This window comes from Homo sapiens, chromosome 10 (assembly GCF_000001405.40).
Source record: "Homo sapiens chromosome 10, GRCh38.p14 Primary Assembly".
Classification (NCBI taxonomy): Eukaryota; Metazoa; Chordata; class Mammalia; order Primates; family Hominidae; genus Homo; species Homo sapiens.
This window is the reverse complement of record NC_000010.11, coordinates 126,541,009-126,562,674: the sequence shown is the minus strand read 5'-3', so window position 1 is coordinate 126,562,674 and position 21,666 is coordinate 126,541,009. Positions and strand designations below refer to the sequence as shown.

The following is a 21,666-nucleotide window of genomic DNA, read 5'->3' as shown; positions in this document are numbered from 1 at the left end:
CCCATTAAAACTGATTGTGCCTTCAGAATCCAAAATAGTCCTATCCCAGGGAAGGGAGAGGAACTGCTCATTGAGCGTCTGCAGATTGCTCTGTGCCCGTTTGACAGGTGGGACAATCTGCATATCAGCAAGGTCACTTGGGCCACCCAGGGTGCCACAGGTAGCAATTAATGGAGACTGGATTTCCAGCTGGCTTGTCTGGGACTGTTCTGTCTCATGCTATCTGCAGGAATGAGGGATTCTGTTAAGAGGAATGTCTCATTGCCTGTGTGGTTAGCAGGTTCGTCTTGGTGAGGGAAGAAGGCAGAGTGTTGGTTGTGGATGTCCACTCTAGGGAGAGGCCCAGCCTTTGGACTTGGCTTCCATACAGTCTAAGGGAGGGCAGGGGGTAAGGGAGGGCAGGGGGTGGCTAGGCAAATCAGTTTGGATGTGGGAAGTTGGCAGATGCTAGCACGTGCACGCAGCAGTGAGATGAGGGCCGCATTCTCCCTCCATTAGGGACCCTCTGGGCCATGCTCATAGAGGTTCTGGATAAACTAACGCCGGCAGGAAGCTGCTGGGCCTGCAGTGGCCTCTGGGCAGCCTGTCGCCACTTGGGCAGAGGGGAGAGAACGCTGTCAGCACTTCAGCGGGAGGGCGGCACCCAGGACTCTCCAGCTGAGGTGCTGAAGCCAAAATGAACGCTTCATGTCAGGCCCAAGATCTTTCCTCAGTTTTCTAATTAGGAAGACCTTTCTGGTCATAGCTTTTGCATCTCTAATTCATCTCTCAGTGGGGGGTTCTTTCTAACTTAACTTCCAAATTTACACCTCTCCTCTCTTCCTGTGCTCCTGTCTGGAGGTGTTGACTGGCGCTCAGCAGGCCACCCGGGGCCCGGGGAAAGGGGCCTGCTCCCTCTGTGTCAGGCACACAACTGTCCACTGTTTGCCTGTCCTCTCTGTTCCCTGATTCTCTCTGCTTGGAATGCAGTCATTGTTTCTGTGAGAGAGTCCCTTGTTTAATTTGCAGCTGCAGTTCCAGGAGATGACATTTCTCAGTCACATCCAAACCTCATTGCACTGCGGACTTTCTGTGGCTCCTGCAGCACGGAGAGTGAAAATCTGCTTTCGTTTTTGTCATCGGAATTCCACAGTCCTCCAACCCGATTCTGGGAGCAAATTTTAATGAATTCAGCAGAAACTTGTGTAGCAGTGATAAAATGTAATTGCCTACAATTTCACACCCACAGTCTCCTCTGTGAGCTGCAGAATTTCAGCCAGCTTGCCGCTTTGCAATTTCATCTCCATGGAATCACTCTCTTCTAAGGTATTCAAGCCTCACGTGTGCTTGAATGAAATGTGTGGTGAATTTTCATCATGATACCAAGAGCAGAAGCAGTCAGCAGTGCTATTAAGATTAATTAGAGGTTGAGGGCCCACACTTTGGAAACAGCGGCAGGTTATGAATTATATTCTTGGTGTACTTTCTAAAGATTCTTCCAGAAGTCTCCTGATTTTTTTCCAGCTGTTATGGTACCTTTGGCTGCACATGGTGACTGAATTGTTTGTCCACTCTGACCACCTCTTTGCGAGCAGGTGGTAAAAACCAGTGACAGGAAGTGGAGGGATGCATTGTACTTGTGTCTTAAATTACCTGTGAGAGTTTGGTTTCATCCAAACAGCTAGAGGGATGTACTCCCAACATAGGCTTTGTAGGGTGAATAGATACTGTCCTAGAAGATCAGGTTCCCTGATTCTGTAAGACCTCTGAGCTAAGCATGTTTTCTACATTTAAAATGGATTAAAAGAAGCATAATCTTTTATGCCATGCAAAAATTATACAAAATCCACGTTTCAATGTCCAGAAATAAAATTCTGTTGGAATGCATCCACGCCCATTGGTTGACATATCATCCAGGGAAGGTCTCACACCATGGTGCAGAGTTGAGTAGCAGCAACAGAGACAGCATGGCCTGCAAAGCCTATGATATTGACTCTCTGGCCCTTTCAGAAGACGTTTGCTGACCTCTAGCACAGAAGAGCAGGCGTCTCCATGGGGATGGCTTTGGTTCCTCTGCCGTCACTAAAGAAGCACCGTGCTGGGGCTCTCTTAGTAGGGTTACATTTTCGATGATGCCCATGGGGTCATTCTGGTTTGAGACCTATGCCCTCCAATGGCCCTGAAGGCCATTGTGAGTCAGGACTGGACACAGTGACGAGGCTTCCTGGTGGTGGGACAGGACTGCCCATTAAGATGAAGTCTCAGGGCCTCCAACCATGCACCGTGCGCGTCGGCAGCTTATTATTCACCATTTATCACCGTGCCTCGAACCTTCAGCAAAGTGAGAAATAGTTTGCCAATGAAGTAAAGTGGAAAATTAATTTGGTTTTCCTCCTATTGCAAGTGAATGCTGAAATTAAAAATGAAGACTCGGATCACTGGTGTGTTTTCATCTTAGGCTGAGTCTTACCCACTTACAAATCACTGAGGTTGCGGGGATTATTTCCTTCTGAAAGTAATTCTTGCTGGCCAAGGGGAACTGTCTAGTGAGATTTGTTGGGGGGAACAATGGAGCAGTTGTATAGAAATATAATATTTATTGTTAAGAGCAGATATTATAAACTGAAAATGTATAACCTTCAGGCAGCCTACCTCCACATAAGCTGGCTCTTATGAGAGGAAAGGAAAGAGGCCTAGAACTTGAAACGGCCAAATATGCAGTTCTCCGCGGTGTCTAATTTCACATTATTTATCATTTATAATGTCATGCTGCATTTTCTCTGAAACTCTTGAGGGTCTAATTTCAGTAGAATTTCCGGCAAGTATTTTGAGCATGACTAGGAGCTGTTAGTAAACACTAGGAAAAAATATTCCTGACTTGCTTGCTGAAGGAAACCCTCTGAAATAAGCTGTTATATAAAGTATCCTGACTTGGCTGGTACTTATCACATAAGAACAAGGTGAGGTTTCTTGGTTGGTTTTTTAAATGATTAGGCTTCTGCTTAGAGATGGCAGAGATAATCCAGCTTCTCTGGTACCCATCTTCCGATCAATTCCACCAGCACTGACCTGTAGCAACCAGGCGGAGGCAGAAGGTGAAAGGAGAGGAGGGAGGGTCAGGGGTTGGTGGGGATGGATGGATCCATAGCCTCCTTAAGGCAGGTGGCTTTTCCTGGCTGCCTTCAGTCCTGCTCCCAGTGACAATTCTGAATATCACTGTAAGAGATATTCACTGCTGCAAACACAGAACTTGCCCTCGTCAACTGAGAAATGACAGATGAGAGCAAATGTTATTGATAGAAGGGATATCAGGTGTCCATAAAAAAGCTGAGCCATATGGGGCCCGCTGATGTAAGGAGAAACCCTTGACTGGATTTTACTATGTAAGAATAGGTGCTCATTATAACAGAGCATGCATGGAAACATGGAAATGCTGGAAACATCTGTATTGCTTACTTTAAAAATTTAAGGAAACATACAATAAGGAGTGACATTGAAAATATTTAACAACCACAGGGCATAGGCATTGGCCTATGAGGATAAATGTGGTTGTAAACAACACAGCCAGGTATATAAGAGAATATTGGCCAAATATCAGCTGGCATAGAATGGTTTTACAAAATGTTCCCTATAAATTACTACATGCAAGTATTTTTGGCACAAAGAGATGGACTTCAGTGATGTGGGAAAGCCACGTTCAGGGTACTGGCTTCTCAGTCATTCCAGTAATGAGATCATATTGCCCTTTAGCATTTCTAATGGTGTGTGGCCCTCACATTTCCCCAGGCAGCCTGATTCAGTCCATCCAGCATTTACCCAGCACTGCCAAGAGTGGGCACTGAGCTGGGCCCTGGGGATCCAGAGTACAAGGCACAGCCCTTGCTCTCTGGGAGCCCAACTCTGGTTGGGGAAGAAGAGAGACACATTACTAGTGGGTTAAATCATGACCTTGGATTCTTCATCCATGGCAGTAACATAGAAGTGTTCCAACAGTGTGAGTTTGACATGGGAGCCACAAATGGAACGGATGCTGAGGGCCACAGAGCAAGGAGCCCCACTCAGATGGGTGGAGGCTCAAGAAAGGCCTCCTGAGGCTTCTCAGCTCAGCTGAGCTGTGTCTTGAAGGACCCGTGGCTAACATTGCCCAGGCGAGGAAAGGCAGAACAAGCATACTCAGAGGAAACCATTGCAAGGTGAGGGGGTGCACAGCCCGCCTGCAGAATTTCAACAGCTCGTTAGTGCTGCGGTCTTAGGAGATGGCTGTGGTCTTAGGAGATGAGGCTGGCCAGGTGGGATCAGATCACAAGGAGAGTCTTGTATGTCATGCTTCGGGGTTTGGATTTCATCCTGAAGACAATGAGAAGTCACTGAAGGATTTTTAAAGTGGAGGGGAGGGGATTTGATCAGGTACAAGTTTCTGTTTTAAGAAAATCTTCTGACAATGAGGCTGGAGGCTGGTCTAGTTTCACCAGTAATGAAACTGGCAAAGTAATACAAGTATGAGATGATGGTAGCCTGGCCTGGGATATTAGCAGTTGGGATGAATGAAGGTGAACTTGGACTGAGGCAAGACAAAGAGAAAGCTGGGCAAATACAGCACCACAATATAGGCAAGAAAGGTGGGCTCCTGCTGTGAGGCCTGGAGAGTGAAGAGGATACTGCAGAGTCTGAGGGGCGTTAGGAGGGCTGCCAGCAGGACTGCATCATTGGCTGGGAGAGGAGTGGACTGGCGAATGCTTCCAGGTTCCTGACTCAACACCGTCACCCCCCAAGAGCAAAAACTTAGGAGGAGTCGGGAGGAGGCATGTGGAGGATGTTTCTCCCTTGCCCAACTCATCTCGATGGTCAAAGTAACACCAGCCCCATGGAGGCAATTTGGAAAGTGAAAAACAAAAAGGAGCAGAAAGAAGTGACCTACTCACATTATACAGGAGTGCAAAGGAACTTATTAGAGCTACAAGTGTTAACCTGGGTGAATCTCATTTAAAATATTGAGCAGAAGCAGAGAATTCCAGCAGGGTATGAACAGTACAGTATTATTTGTAAACGTTTTGCAACATGCAAAATGATGTCACAGATTGCTAAAGAAATGGTATATGTGTATCAAAGTAGACTGAGGAAAGGACAGACCTCAAATCCGGGCAGTGTTTACCTGAGGAGGGGAAGTTATGGGGGAAAGGTATAGAGGACTTTTGGTAACTTTTTTTTTTTTTTTTGAGATGGAGTCTCGCTCTGTCGCCCAGGCTGGAGTGCAGTGGCATGATCTCCGCTCACTGCAAGCTCTGCCTCCCACGTTCACGCCATTCTCCTGCCTCAGCCTCCCAAGTAGCTGGGACTACAGGCGCCGCCACCACACCCAGCTAATTTTTTGTATTTTTAGTAGAGACGGGATTTCACCGTGTTAGCCAGGATGGTCTCAATCTCCCAACCTCGTGATCTGCCCGCCTCAGCCTCCCAAAGTGCTGGGCTTACAGGTGTCAGCCACCGCACCCGGCCACATTTATTTCTTAATCTGAATGGTGAGTATGGGCAACCTGTTATTCATTATACATCCATATGTCTTGACTATTCCATGACTTTAAAAAAGTCATCAGAGACTCATCACCTGAGACCATCATTCTAACATAGTTCCTATTAGGTTGGTGCAAAAGTAATTGCGGTTTTTGCCTTTTTTTTTTTTTTTTTAAATTGATTAATTGCAAAAACCACGATTACTTTTGCACCAACCTAATAGAAACAACTTTCTTCTCCCCTCTTATCCAGAGCCTTCAGGAAGAAACGCTGGGGCCCACAGCACTGCCTGCCTCTCAGGCTCCAGGTTTCTGCCTTCCCCACAGGTCACAGCTTGGAGTACAAACCTGTGTTCACAGTGTTTGAACTTCATGATGTCTACAGGAACTCTCTCCTGCCCCTTTTCAGAGACCACAAAACAGATCAGAGAAATAGGGTGTCTGGGTGGCTGCTATGGATTAAGAATCCAAGGTCACGATTTAACCCACTAGAAATGAACTTGACGATTACCTTGTCCCTTAAAGGGTGATTTGTTCTCCCGTGGGGACCTGGTCCCACAGCCAACAATACACTGCCGGTGTATTGCACTCTGCTGGAGTTCCACAGGCTGGTTCATAAATTGAATTTCATTTTCAGAATCAGGAGGAAATGAAGAAATAATTTTATATACCGTACATTTATTGAAATTATATCAAAATAAGCAATGAAGGAAAATTTCTGTTGGTAATATAATTTCAAGGATCACTTCATGAGTTTGCAGCTAGAACAGCATCTGAAAATATCTGGGTTTGATAAGCACAGGGAGAAACTGCCCGTGTTCTATTTAAACGTGGAGGGAGAAGGGAGCGCCCTTTGCAGAGTCCCCACTCAGCTCTCCTCCCATCTCGCTTCTTGCATCCTTGTCCCTCTGTAGTACTCGCTGTTGACATTTTGCAATTGTGCATATCCCAATTTAGATACCATTTCTTTGTCTTGATAGAGGGCCTGAAATTATAGTTACAGGACACAGCACTCAACCCCGGCCATTTTGGTTCCCACATTGGTGTAACTTGACCACATGCCAGACCACCAGCTGGTTTTGATACTATCAGAAAGTGGAGACTCGTTTATCATCTGATGCAGGCTAGGCCAGACATTTTTCACCAATTTTGGTTAACGTGAGGTCAACTCACTTCACAAATTCACAGGTGTTCACCAAAATTGTATCATTTTATTTTAGGAGATTTATGGCAGGTTAAAGTGTGAAATGGATTCTGGCATCGACAGAGTGATATCTTTGCGGAGTATAGTCATTTCTCTCTATTTCTATGAATAAGTAACTTCTGAAGTGAATTAACCATTCATGTGGAGAGAGGGACTTCCATCTGCCAACTTCTGTCAGCATTTCTATCTGATGCTGACTCCACTCGCATTGACCCAAGTGTAAATTTGGAGGATTTGATTAGCTTTTTTATTTATTTAATTTTTATTTATTTATTTATTTATTTATTTATTTATTTATTTACTGAGATAGAGTCTCCCTCTGTTGCCCAGGCTAGAGTGCAGTGGTGCGATCTCAGCTCACTGCAACCTCCACCTCCCAGGTTCAAGCGATTCTCCTGCCTCAGCCTCCCGAGTAGCTGGGATTACAGGCACAGGCCACCATGTCCAGCTAATTTTTTGTTTTTTTTTTTGGTAGACACAGGGTTTCACCATGTTGGCCAGGCTAGTCTCAAACTCATGACCTCAAGTGATCGCGCCTGCCTCAGCCTTCCAAAGTGTTGGGATTACAGGCATGAGTCACCGTGCCCAGCCTGATTAGCTTAAACAGTGTATGATGAGACATATAAATTAATATATCAACCTCTTCCAGTTTCTTTTGTATCCAGGATCTAGTACTTGGATACTGCTCTATTTTTTTGTTTCATTTCCTACTCCTCACCCCTCTGCTACCAAAGCCCAATCCATTTATCCCATAAACATTCAAGGTTAACCCAAAGTCAGGTTGTGAATTAGTAAGGAATGAAACGCTGATGAGTCAGGTGGGCCCAACCATGTCACCACCCCACCTTCCTTATTGAACTTGCTGATTGTAAGGTGGAGTCCTACTGATAATGTGCAGACGCCACATCTCTGAGAAGTTACTCCTTTTGTGTGGACCGCAATCAGATTGTCTTCCCTGAATAAAAGGGAAATCTGGGAGACATTTTCCAGGATTTTAAAAGACTCCTGAGGAAGGCGAGTGTCGTGAGATTAAAGCAAGGAGCAAGTGCTTCTTCAATGCCCAGGTTGTTCGAAGCATCTGATAATCAGCTGTCCTGTCTGCATTTCTTTCCTTCTCTGTTTTGATGTTGGCTTGATTGTGCTATACATTTTGCTATCTTGCCCAAGTATAATCAGCAGGAGGAGTCTTTTGGAATAAAAGCGTCTTTGACTTTCATACACATTTTCTGAGACAGAAGAAAAAATCAGAAGTCGTTTTTAGCTTTAAAAATATTGTACTGCCTCTGCAGTGTTTCCAGAGAAAGTTGGTAGCAGGGAATGGAGTTGAAGAGGACTCTATCACTGTGAGAGTAAAATTAACAAAAATAGTAGAGTGCTAATTTTTTGAGTGATTGCTATGCACTTTGCACCGTGCTTAGTGGATTTTCATTATGTTTAATGAGATAGCACATACGTGCAGCAAACTACACAAATGTGGCTTATAGCTTGATGCATTTTACAAATGTGTATACTTCTATAATCACCACCCAAATCAAAATAGAGTATGTCCAGTAATTCAGAAGGCTCCTACCTTCTGAATTCCGAAGGCTTTCCTCATCCATAACTACTATCTCCAGCTGCCTCACCAAGATAAGCACTATTCCTACTTCTACTGCAATCGATTACTTTTGCCCCTTGAACTTGATGGAAATGGTCATGTAATATATGCTCTGGGGTCTGGCTTCTTTTGCTTGACATTATGTCTCAGATTCACCCATGTTCTAGTGTGTTTCTATGCCAAGTATTATTTATCATAGCTGCATAATATTCCATTGTGTTAATATGTCACTATCTGTTCCACCGTTGGTGGACATTTGGGTTATTTCCATGTGTGGCTGTTATGAACAAAGCTGCCACAAATATTCTTGTGTGTGTGTGCGTGTGTGTCTGTCTTCGGTGGACATGTTAATCCATTTCTCTTGCATATATATCTAGAAGTAGAATGGCTACATCAGAGGGTAGGTATAGGGTTTTTTATCTTTGGGAAGAAGATTCAGCAGTTTTCCAAAGTGGCTGTATCGCCTTAGCTTCACACTAGCAATGTATGGGCGTTGCGGTTTTTCTACATCCTTTCTAAAACTTGATATTGTCAAACATTTTAATTTGAGCATTTCTTCTGTCTTACAGTCATACATCACTTAACAATGGAGATAGGTTCTGAGAAACGTGTCGTTAGGTGTTTTCATCACTGCGGAACTATCATAGAGTATATGTACAGAAACCTAGATGGTATAGCCTACAACATACCTTGGCTAGATGATACAGCCTATTACCCCTAGGTTACAAACCTGTACAGCATGACTGTATTGAATACTACAGGCAGTTGTAACACCCGGCTAAGAATTTGTGTATCTAAACATATCTATACGTAGGAAAGGTAATGCATTGTGCTATGATGTTATGATGTCTATGACATCACTAGGTAATAGGAATTTTTCAGCATCATTATGATCTTATGAGACCATCATCATATATGTGGTCTGTCATTAACTGAAATGTCATTATGTGGTACAAGATTGTATTTTGATGATTAATAGGTGTTGAGCACCTATTCATGTCCTTATTTGTCACTAGCTATACTCTCTTATGAAGTGCCTTTTTAAGTCCTGTGCCTAGTTTTAAAATTGTGTTTTCTATCTTTTTCTTATTGATTTGTAGGAGTTCGTAATAGAACATAAGATATACGTATTGTAAATATCCTTTCTCCATTTATGGCTTGATTTTTCATTATCTTATGGTATCTTTTGATGAATATAAGTTCTTGATTTTTCTTAAGTATTATTTATCCTTTTTTCTCTTAAAATCAGAGCTTTTCTGTATCCTTTTAAAGAAATCTTTGTGCCAAGATCATGAAGATATTCTTCTATGTTTTCTTTTAGAAGCATTTTGGTTTGACCTTTCTTAGTTAGGTCTATTATTTATGTGGAAGTGATTTGTGTTTATGATGGGAAGCAGGGTTGAGGTTCATTTTTTTCCCCCAACCGATGTCTAATAGACCCAAAACGATTTGTTGGAAATATTTTCTTCCTCCAAGTGTATTGCAGTGGCATTCTGAGTGTTTTCCATGTTTTCCATTCATTAATTCTCATAACCCTAAGATATAGATATTGGTTTTATTCCTAATATACATATGAGAAAACTGAGGCTCAGAGAGATGATGTAATTTATCCCGCCATGCAGCAAGAGCTCAAGATCTTGCTACTTCGTCCTCTGCCTTTGCGCATATGCGCGGCAGGTACTGCTGCAGCATTTCCTTTCTCCTGGGTAAATCACGTGGCAAAGCGGAAAGGAAATGCCCACTGAGCCACACGATCGGGCTGCAGGTGGTGGGGATGGCATAGCATCTTGGGTGAGTATCCTTTATAAGACAGCGTCTCCTGGCAGGGCTCAGTCTGGTCTTTGCAGCGAGAACGCCTGGATGATGGACAACCTGTCCAGTTCTTCTCTGTTTGGCAGGAGGACTCTCTTGAATGCCCATTTGCATTGCAGCTGTGTTTCCTCAGGTGTTGTGGAGGGAGGTTCTCGACCAGTGTGGGGACTTCTGTTCTGCGACTGGATTTAACTAAGACAAATGCAAATTTGTGCTACAGTTTAGTGCTACAATTAGTGCTACAATCAGTACCCTGAAGCACTTAAAGATAACAAAGGCAAGCTGTTCTGTTCATTCCTTCAACAGATATTTATTGAGTGTATACTACATGGTTCCCTGTATGGGAAAAATGGCAATGAACTAAACATATGAGGACCCTGCCTCAAGGAACTAACATTCAAAGAAGAATCTTTTATAGAGGCTTTTTTACACTGATGACCCTAAAGCTCTATCAATAAAAGATTAACTGAACTTTACCAATCACTTCTTACCCCAAGTTTCTCCACCCCCACTGGCATTTTGACAACCTAGTTCTTCTAGGTACTAACCTTAGACAGTATCCCAGTTTCTTAACCATTTTACAGTAATTCCTGCTCTATCTCCAAAAACTGGAAAATGGGAGGAGTAACTTGAAATGCCCTGGAAAGGCAGTGGGTCCTATCTTGTTCTAGCAAATGAATTCAGTTGTAGGCTATGCTTTTTGTGGTTTTACCAACAAACGGACACATAGCTGCTACTTTGTTATTCTGCAGGCCTTTTTGAGATAATGTTCAGCAAGCGTGCAAGGCCCTTATCAATAAGGAAAGCGATTTTTGATTTAATGCTGTAAACCACTGGTTTCTCTTCTGTGCCTTTTTCTTTGAGACAATATATAAAATGTCCTCAGATGCAGCCTGTGGTCTGAAACATAAGTATGGAGTAATTGCACCTGGCATAGGAATCTTATGCTCCTTGGATCTGCTGAGATTCAGTAGGTTGCATTTGACAGAGTTGTTTTCATTCTTTTTATTAATCTTCAGTTTTTCTGCCTCAAATTTTTTTTTCCCACACTCACTCCCTCCCCATATAATGTTTAACCATTCAGGAATTCAATCCAACATGTGTTTCTGAGATATCTACTGCATGAAAGACTATGAAGTGTACTTGGGGAAAAGCAAATTAATAGGACCCAGTACATTGCACAAGGACTTTCCAGTCTAGTGGGGGAGGAGCTCATATTTCCATCTATTATTGCACCAGGCAGAGTGGACCAAGTCCACACAGAGGTGTTGGTAGTGGTAGAAACAGTTACCAGCTACTAAGCATTTATTATTTGCCAGTGCATTATAGCAAATGTTCTCTCTAGTCTCAAGACAATCCTTCAAAGTAGATTGAATTATCCCTTGCCTAGAGAACTGAGGCTTGGAGGGGATGAATGTCCTCTTCAAGGTTTTACAGCTTGGATGTGAAAGCCAAGGACTTAAATCCAGGACTACCAGCTCTAAGGCTGGCTCTGCCTTGGAGTATTTGTGTATTTAGAACATTTACATTTAATGTAATGATTGAGATGTTAGGGCTTAAGTCCACCATTTTATTTATTATTTTCTCTTCCCTCTCCCTTCTGTCCTCACCCTGTTATCCTCAGAGGGAGAAAACACAGAAGAGAGGCACATTAATCCTAGTTTAGAGAAAGGCAGTGGCATTGTAATTGTTTTTAGTTGAAGGTTTTAAATATGGTGACAATTATAGGTTCATGTGCAGTTTAAAGAAATAATACAGAAAGAGGTCAGGCACGGTGACTCATGCCTGTAATCCCAGCATTTTGGGAGGCTGGAACAGGTGAATCACCCGGGGTCAGGAGTTCAAGACCAGCCTGGCCAACATGGTGAAACACCATTTCTACTAAAAATACAAAAATTAGCTGGGCGTGGTGGCACACACCTGTAATCCCAGCTACTAGGGAGGCTGAGAAGGGAGGATTCCTTGAACCCAGGAGGCGGAGGTTGCAGTGAGCTGAGATCGTGTCACTGCACTCTAACCTGGGCGACAGAGTGAGACCCTGTCTCCAAAAAATTAGAAAGAATACAGAAATATTTCATATACCCTTTGTTCTATTTCCTCCTAATGGCAACATCTTAAAAACTACACTACAGTATCATAAAGGATACTGCCATTGGTATACTCAAGACAGAGCATTTCCGTGATTACAAGGTTCCCTCCTGTTGATCTTCTATAGTCACACTCACTTCCCTTCTGCACCTCCCTCTTCCTAACCTCTGGCAACCACTTTTCTATCCTCCTTTTCTATAATTTTGTCACGTCAAGAATGCTGTATAGGAGCCAGGCGCGGTGGCTCATGCCTGTAATTCCAGCACTTTCAGAGGCTGAGGCAGGCAGATCACCTGAGGTCAGGAGTTCGAGACCAGCCTGGCCAACATGGCAAAACCCTGTCTACTAAAAAATACAAAAAATTAGCCAGGCGTGGTGGCGGGTGCCTGTAATCCCAGCTACTCAGGAGGCTGAGGCAGGAGAATTGCTTGAACCCGGGAGGCTGATGTTGCAGAGAGCTGAGATTGCGCCACTGCACTCCAGCCTGGGTAACAGAGAGAGACTGTCTCAAAAAAAAAAAAAAAAAAGAAAGCTTTACAGAATTGTATAGCATGTAGCATGTATCCTTCTGGGATTGTCTTTTTGCACTTGGTGTTATTCTTTGGAGGTTCATTCAGGTTGTTGCATGTATAACTAGTCTATTTTTGTTGAGCGTCCCATGATATGGATGCACCAGTTTGTTTAGCCATTCATCCACTGAAGGACATCTGGGTTGTTCTTAAATTTTTTTTTTTTTTTTTGCTATTATGAATAAAGATGTTATAAACATTCAGATGCAGGTTTTTGTGTAAACACAACTCTTCATTTCTCTGGGAGAAGTGTCCATGAGTGAAACTGTTGACTCATAGAATAGTTACATATTTAGTTTTTTAAGGAATTGCCAAATTATTTTCCAGAGCAGCTGTACCATTTTAAATTCTCACCAGCAGTGTAAGAGTAATCCTGTTTTTCTGTGTCCTTGCCAGAATTTGGTGTTGTCACTATTTTTTAATCCTAGCCATGCTGATAGGTATGTGGTGGTATCTCATTGTGGTATTAATTTGCATTTCCCTAATGGCTAATGAGGCTGGACATCTTTTCATATGCTTATTTGCCATCTGTGTTTCCTCTTCAGTGAAATGTATCTTTATGTCTTTTGTCCATTTTCTAATTGGGCTGTTTGTTTTTCTTACTGTTGAGTTTTGAGAACTCTTTAAATATTCTAGATATTAGTCCTTTGTCAGCTATGTGGCTTGCAAATATTTTCTCTCACTCTGTGACTTGTCTTTTCATCTTCTGAACAAGGTCTTTCATAGAGGAAAAGTTTTACACTTTGATTAAGTACAATTTGTCAATTTTTCCTTTTGTGGATCATTCTTTTTGTGTTATGTCTAAGAATTCTTTGCCTAGCCTTAGATTCCAAAGATTTCCTTTAATCGTTCTTCTATAAAATATTTATAGTTTTACATTCAAGTTTATCATCCTGTTTGAGTTATTTTTATATAAGATGTGAGATTTAGGTCAAGGATTATTTTTTGGCCTTTGAGTGTCTAGTTGTTTCCACTTGCTGAAAAGGCTAGCTTTCCTCCATTGAATTGCTTTTGCACCTTTGTCAAAAATCACTTGGTCCTATTTATGTGGATCTATTTCTGGATTTTCTGTTCTATTCTATTAATATTTGGGTCTGTCCCTCTGCCAGCACCACACAGCACTCCAGCCTGGGCGACAGAGTGAGACTCCGTCTCAAAAAAAAAAAAAAAGCTGTGTAATAAATTTTGCAATCCCGTAGAATGTTTTCTTCCACTTTATTTATTTAGTTTTTGGTAAAGATGGGATCTTGCGGCCGGGCGCAGTGGCTCATGCCTGTAATCCCAGCACTTTGGGAGGCCGAGTTGGGTGGATCATGAGGTCAGGAGATCGAGACCATCCTGGCCAACATGGTGAAACTCCATCTCTACTAAAAATACAAAAATTAGCTGGGTGTGGTGGCGTGTGCCTGTAATCCCAGCTACTGGGGAGGCAGAGGCAGGAGAATCGCTTGAACCTGGGAGGCGGAGATTGCAGTGAGCCAAGATTGCGCCACTGTACTCCAGCCTGGTGACAGAGCGAGAGACTTTGTCTAAAAAAAAAAGATGGGGTCTTGCTATGTTTCCCAGGCTGTTCTCAACCTCCTGGCCTCAAATTATTCTTCTGCCTCAGCATTCCAAAGTCCTGGGATTACAGGCACGAGCCACTGTGCCCGGCCCCACTTGCTTTTTTATGAAATTATTTTTGTTATTCTAGTTACATTGAATTTCAATACAAATTTTTAAAGCATCTTGTCTATATCTACAAAAAATCTTGTTGAGATTTTGATAGGAATTATGTTAAGCCTATATATAGGTTTGCCTTTGGCTTTCACATCACATTTAATTATGATGTGTCTTGGTGTAGATTTTTTTTTCTGTTTGTTTATCATCTTTGGTGTTCACTAAGCTTTTTAAATTTGTAGGTTTTGGTCTCTTTTCAAATTTCAAAAGTTTTAACCATTATTTCCTCAAGAACTTTTTCAGTGTAAGCCTTTTCTCTTCTCCTCTGGGACTCCAATGACATACAGTCAGATCTTTTATTACAGTCTCACAGGTTCTTAACGAGGCTCTGTTCAATTTTTTTTCAGGCTATTTTCTCTCAGTTATTCAGTTTGGGCAATTTCAATTGTTCTGTCTTCTAGCTCACTGATTCTTTCCTAAGTACCTTCCATTCTTCTGCTGAGCTTCTTTACTGAGCTTTTTGTTTCATTAGTTTTTAAAATTCTAATATTTTCATTTGACCCTCTTACAGTTTCCATTATTTCTTTGGTGAGATTTTCTATTTTATTTGCTGAGGCTTTTTCATTTCATTTGTTTCAAGTGAGCTTATAATTGCTTGTCGAAGCATTTTTATCATAGCTGCTTTAATTTCTCTCTCAGATAAGTCCGGTGTGTTTGTCCTCTCAGTGTCGGCATCTATTGTCTTTTTTTTTTTTTTTCACTCAGTTAAAGATGTTTCTGGTTCTTGTTGTGATGAACGAATGATTTTCTTTCTTTCTCTTTATTTTATTTTTTTTTTTTTTGACAGTCTTGCTCTGTCGCCCAGGCTGGAGTGCAGTGGCACGATCTTGGCTCACTGCAAGCTCCGCCTCCCGGGTTCACACCATTCTCCTGACACAGCCTCCTGAGTAGCTGGGACTACAGGCGCCCGCCACCACGCCCGGCTAATTTTTTTTATTTTTTGTAGAGATGGGGTTTCACCGCGTTAGCCAGGATGGTCTCGATCTCCTGACCTCCTGATCCGCCCGCCTCGGCCTCCCAAAGTGCTGGGATTACAGGCGTGAGCCACAACGCCCGGCCTTTTTTTGTTGTTTTTGTTGTTGTGGTTGGAGACGGAGTCTCGCTCTGTTGCCCAGTCTGGAGTGCAGTAGCACGATCTTGGCTCATTGCAATCTCCACCTCCTGTGCCTCAGCCTCCTGAGTAGCTGGGATTACAGGTATGCGCAACCATGCCTGCCTAATTTTTTGTAGTATTAGTAGAGTTGGGGTTTTGCCGTGTTGGGCAAGCTGGACTGGAACTCCTGACGTTAAGTGATCCACCTGCCTTGGCCTCCCAGAGTGCTGGGATTATAAGCCTGAGCCACCGCACCTGGTGGTGATGAATGATTTTTCAATGAAAACCTGGACACTCATGTTATAAAACTCTGGATCTTATTAAATCTTCTATTTTAATTGGCTTTTTCTGACACTGCTATGCCTGGGAGTGCCACGTTGTTACTGCCAGGTGGAGGTAAAAGTCCAGATTTCTCACTAGGCTTCAGTTGACACCCAAGAGGGGGGAAATCCTCATTGCTGCTGGGCAGTGAGGAGAGCTCTGCTCCCCACTCAGCCTCCACTGACATCTCCCTGGGTGGGGGGAGGCTTAGGAGTGCCTCCTTACTGCTTCCCACGTGGCTTCCCCTGAACTACCCTGGAGGTGGTCCTGTTATCACTGGTGGGTGGTAAGAGTCCAAAATCTCTACAAGGTCTCCTCTGGCACCATCCTGGTGGGGAGGGGAAGAGATACCTCCTTACTGCTGGGTGGGGGTGGAAGTCTAGGCTCTCCAAGTGATCTGCACTGAACCTGGGGGCAGGCAGGGGTGAGAATTCTGGCTCCCGCTCAGCCTGGCTTTCTCTGACCCCACCCTGCCAGTTAGGTTAGGGTGCTTCTTTCTAGCCTCACAAGTGTGGAGGCATGCTGGCCTTTGCTGGCATGTGGGCATGAGGGTACAGTTTTATTCTGTGGGGTTTGGCTGGAGTAGAGTGGTTATTGTCTGAAAGTTTTCTGTCTAGCTCTGTCGTGTCTTTCTTGGTTTTTGTTTTTCCTAGGGAGCAGGCTTTGCCTGGGGTTTTTTCTGTCTTTGGCCCTTGATGTTTTCAGGTTGCTTGTTCCTGTAGCTTCAAGTCTGAGATGCATGAGACAAAAGAAAATCCAGGGAATTCGTCACCATGTCATTTTTGGGTCTCGAGGTCCATAGCTAGTCTTTCTCCTCTCCACCTTTAAGAGTCTGCTTATGTTAGTTTTATACAGAATAGATAGCTCTTACATATATTTTATATATAGCATCCAGAACAACATCAGTGGTATTTAGTTGAAGAAATAAGAAATAAGTCAGAAATAAGTCACTGCCCTCCCCGAGAAGAACCACCACCCTAACTTCCAACACCTAAACTGGGTTATTAAAAGTTAAGAACCGATTAACTGAGAGAGAAGAGGGGGAGGGGCATTCCATGCTGACGGTGTGAAAACAAGAGTTATATGCTCAGAAAAGTGCTATACGGTGAGGATACATCTTTCTCATATTTGCTTTCAGGAATTCCAGTAAATGGGTTTGCCAAAGAGAAAAGGAGAGAGTCCCATTTAAACATTATGAGAGGTTGCTACCTCTAGATTCTGCAACCATCTTGGGATGGTAGGCAACGGCTAGAGTAAGCCTGAAGTAGCCAACACATGTTGGTAAGAATAAGTGAATACTTTTAAAGGTTTTTTTTTTAAATCAGTGACTAAAAAATCTAAAGGATTTGTATCATTCACTTGGCCAGACAGTGCAGGTCAGGATGCCTTCCTTAACATTATAAAAGGGGAAGAACAAGGAATTAATTAAGGCTACAGGGACACATTGACCAAGAAGGGTTAGGATATTGGAAAACCAGTCGTGGCTTGTACATTTTGTACACTGAACTGTAGTTTCTGGGAGATTTTACTACACTCAATTTCACCTCCTTTTGCATGGGTCCCAGGGGTCAGAGACCTGGCTCCGGAGGATGAGAGAGATCAGAGGGAGGGCTGGGTATGATTACGAAACAGAGATCGAACAAGGGTGTTAGGAGGGCATGGGAAGCGGGGGTGCATTACGCATGACCTGCATGACTTTGGCTAAGCTGTAAGATGCTTATTTTCAGGCACAGGTTAACATTGCACCACATCTTTTAAATAATAGGTCAGCATTTATCTCTTCTGAAAACAAGAGTGGTGTTTAAAAATCGTTTTGTCCACACCAAGGATGGGAAAATCTAGCCTAGGAATTGGCTTCAACATTTGTCACCCTACTGGTGCCAATCAATAGGAAGGGGAATAGTAGTGAAAATCATCAGGCAATCAAAGTCCTCCCCACCACTTTTGGCAGTACAAATGGGCAGGATTGATAGGGCAAGGCAGGGGCATTACACCATCAGGGAAGAATGGACTTCAGAGGACCTCTCCCAGCCCATGAATTATGCGATTATTCACTCACCTCACTTAAGAAAAATCAATTCTGCAGCATTGCCTGGTGGCTTCGTAGTTTCTTTCCTCTAAATCTATCATTCCTCTTTATATTCATTTAACATAATCTTTCTAAAATCTCCACCAACAAAGCAGAAATGCCAAATGTCACAAATTCTGTTAACTTTCGATGGAAAGGAAAAAAAAAAACCTCTCACATGCACTTTCTTGCTTGGGAATGTGTCTTATGGTTTATTTTTCTGAAGTGAGTTGTGTGGATAGCACTGTACAGTTACAGGTGTTATTTCACGCAATGGCCCCCAGCAGGGGTAGTGGCCCACGAGCGCCTGGTGGAGGGGAGGATGGGCCAAGTTCTAGAGGCGGATGATTGACAGGCTGGGGATGGGAAGCCACCTCCCATGTAATGCTGGGCTTGGTAGGACCCAAAGGGTACAGCAGATAGTTTTCCTATGATATTTACAGTCATGGTCTATGAGCAGATGCAGTTTCACATCTGTAAGGACAAATGTATGTCACAGAAGTCACCAACTGGGGCCCCTGGGCCAGGTCCATCTCGAAAAGTCTTTGGTTGGTCCCAGGGAGTTTCTGTCATTTACTTTGAGTTAGTTGACAATATTAAAAAATTGTAAGATTTCACATAAAAATTCAAGCATAGAGTTTTTCTTTAAAAATGAGAAGATCTGGCAACACCGGACCTGTGCTTCCAGCAGCTGAATTGAGAATCACCCACCCCTGAAGCACAGGGCTCGCCAGCTTGCCCTAGTCCTACCTAGCTTCCTTCTACTTCTGCTGACATGTCACCGCGACCCTGGTATGTGGCTGATGTGTGGTGATAGCCTTGAAGCTCGAGTCAGCAGTTCACTGAGGCTTTCAGGGGAGGTCACATTGATACCAACCTTCTGAGTGTTCTTTACCTCTTTTGAGAAAGCATTTTCTTGAAAGTAATGACACTGCTAATGAAAACTGATCTTTCTTTCCAACAGTTTATTTTCCAGAGAACAAACACAGGAAACTCTTAAGCATATGTGCTAATGGTAGAAAGCATAGGCATGGAGAAATGGAATGTGACCATCAGAGGCAAAAGCATATTAGCTGTTTGTCTCCACCATGAGCCATTGGCTTGGTCTCAGGGAATGGGGTCACCTGCAGCTTCCATGGTACTGAGTCCTGATGGGAAGGTCTAATACTCCATGTTAGCATGTGCCTATGCTGCCGTAGCCCTCATCACCTTGAATTATAGAAAAATTGTCCTGAATTACCTACATCTGCTTTCCAAATGTCAACCCCTTGAGTGCCTAATAATATCCTACACTTACTGTGTGCTTAAGATGTGCCAGACATAATGCTAAGCACTTTATCTGAATTAACTTCATTGCTCCTCTCGATAACCTTTTGAGGCAGGAATGTTTCTCATCCCCATTTTTCAGATGAAAGAACAGAGGTGCACAGACGGTTGATGACTGACAGGCAGGCAGAGCTAGCAGGCTTGAATATTTACAAATTTGTTGAACTGTGTCTAAGCAGCACAGCACTTGAGTGATTTCATTTTATTACCGCCACTTTATGAAACTATATACTATACTGTAAATTAATATATTTACACATTTGTATTGCTGTACGGAGTTCACACGAAACACATATATGTAATTTATGGGTGATTTAAGGAATTTTCAAGGGAAATTAGAGACCAATTCATTGTTTACTTTCTTCTCTGAGGCTCTCAACAAAATCAACAACACACATTTGACAGTTTTTAAAATTTTTAAATTTGTTTCATTTGTAACTAAACAAAACACCAGTGAACCGAATATATACATATATACACATATCTTGAGGCACATGTGGCATTGAATCCTATAAGTGAAATAGATGAATCACAAGGTATGTGTATGTACATTGTACATTTTAATAGATACTGCCAAGTTTTCCTCCCGTAAATGTTCTACCAGTCTACATTTCAGCCAATAGTTTGGGAAGAACCCACCTTCCCACACCCTGATGCTGGATTTTTATAGGGGTGTGTGTGTGTATTTGCCATGCTAAAGAAAAGACAGAGTATCTCCTTGTTGCTTTTTTAATTGAGTTAAAATTCGTATAATACGAAATTAACTGTTTTAAAGTGAACAGTTAAGTGGTATTTAGTGCATTTGCAATGCTATGCAACAAACACTTTTATCTAGTTCCCAAACCTTTTTTTAAAAAAAGTATTATTTTTTATTTATTTATTTTTCGAGACAGAGTCTCGCTCTGTCGCCCAGGCTGGAGTGCAGTGGCACAATCTCAGCTCACTGCAACTTCCACCTCCCGAGTTCAAGCAATTCTCCTGCCTCAGCATCCCGAGTAACTGGGATTACAGGTGCCTGCCACCACACCCAGCTAATTTTTGTATTTTTAGTAGAGATGGGGTTTCACCATGTTGGCCAAGCTGGACTCAAACTCCTAACCTCAAGTGATCCACCTGCCTCTACCTCCCAAAGTGCTGGGATTACAGATGTGAGCCACTGCACCTGGCCTAGTTCCCAAACCTCATACTCACTAAGCAGTCATTTCCTATTCCCCAGTCCCTATTTCCCCCAGTACTTAAAAACTGCTAATCTGCTTTCCATCTCTGTAAATTTACCTACTCTGGACATTTCATGTAAAGAGAATCATACACTATATGACCTTTTGTGTCTGGCTTCTTTCGTGTGGCATGTTTTCAAGGTTCACCCATGTAATAGCATGTGTCACGGCTTCATTCCTTTTTGTTGGAATAATGTTCCATTGAATGTATGTACAACAATTTATCCATTCATTTGTTGATGGACATTTGGGTTGATTCCACTTTTTGGCTATTGTAAGTAGTGCTGATGTGAACACTTTGTGAAAGTATGTACCCCTGTTTTTAATTATTTGGGGTTTGTATGCATGATCATATGGTCATATGGTAATTCTTTGTATCCTTATTGGGGAACTGCCATAGCAGCTGCAGTATTTTACATTCCCATTGGCAACGGATGAGACTTTCCATTTCTCTACATCCTCACCAACACTTGTTATTTTCTGTTTTGTTTTAATTATAGCCATTTTAGTGGGTTGGAAGTGGTATCTCATTGCAGTATTGATTTGCATTCTCTAATGACTAATAATGTTAAGCATGTCTTCATGTGCTTTTTGGCCATTCACATATCTGTTTTGGGGAATGTCTACTGAAGTTCTTTGCCCATATTTAAATTGGATTGCTTGTCTTTTGTTGTTGAGTTATAAGAGTCCTTGATATGTTCTGGATATTAAACCTTTATTTGGTATATGATTTGCAAATATTTTCTCCCATTCTGTTGATTATCTTTTCACTTTCTTGATGATGCCCTTTGATGTACATTGTTATTTTAATTTATTTTCTTTAAATGTTTTTTAAAATTTTATTTATCCAATTGCTAAAGAGCTCTAGCATCTTTTTAGTATATATTATCCCATTGTATTTATTTTCCAGTAACATCCATGTTCAAATCATTTACTCACTTTTCTAAAGTGTTTTCTTCTAATACAATCATAGGAGTTACTTTTATAGCCAGAATATTAGTATTTTCTTCCAGTCTGTTAAGCATCTTATTTTTTGTGTGTAATACATTTGTCATATAAAAATTACTTGTTATAGTCCAGCTCTTCATCTTTCACGGCTTCTAGATATTTTGTCTTCTTTAGTAAGACTTCCAGTAGTATCAAAACATCCTTCTATCATTTTT

The 21,666-nt window shown here is 42.3% G+C and overlaps 1 protein-coding gene across 5 annotated transcripts in view, besides 1 other annotated feature; it reads left to right on the top strand.

Moving 5' to 3' along the window:
• Nucleotides 1-21,666, top strand: part of C10orf90 (chromosome 10 open reading frame 90) — a 245,697-nt gene that overhangs the window by 108,019 nt on the left and 116,012 nt on the right. The window lies entirely within an intron of this gene.
• Nucleotides 558-1,314: an enhancer, noted in NCBI's record as "NANOG-H3K27ac-H3K4me1 hESC enhancer chr10:128249930-128250686 (GRCh37/hg19 assembly coordinates)". NCBI's record gives its function as "activates a minimal SCP1, AML or CMV promoter by ChIP-STARR-seq in primed H9 embryonic stem cells {active_cell/tissue: H9 hESC(primed)}" and the evidence as "EXISTENCE:reporter gene assay evidence [ECO:0000049][PMID:30033119]".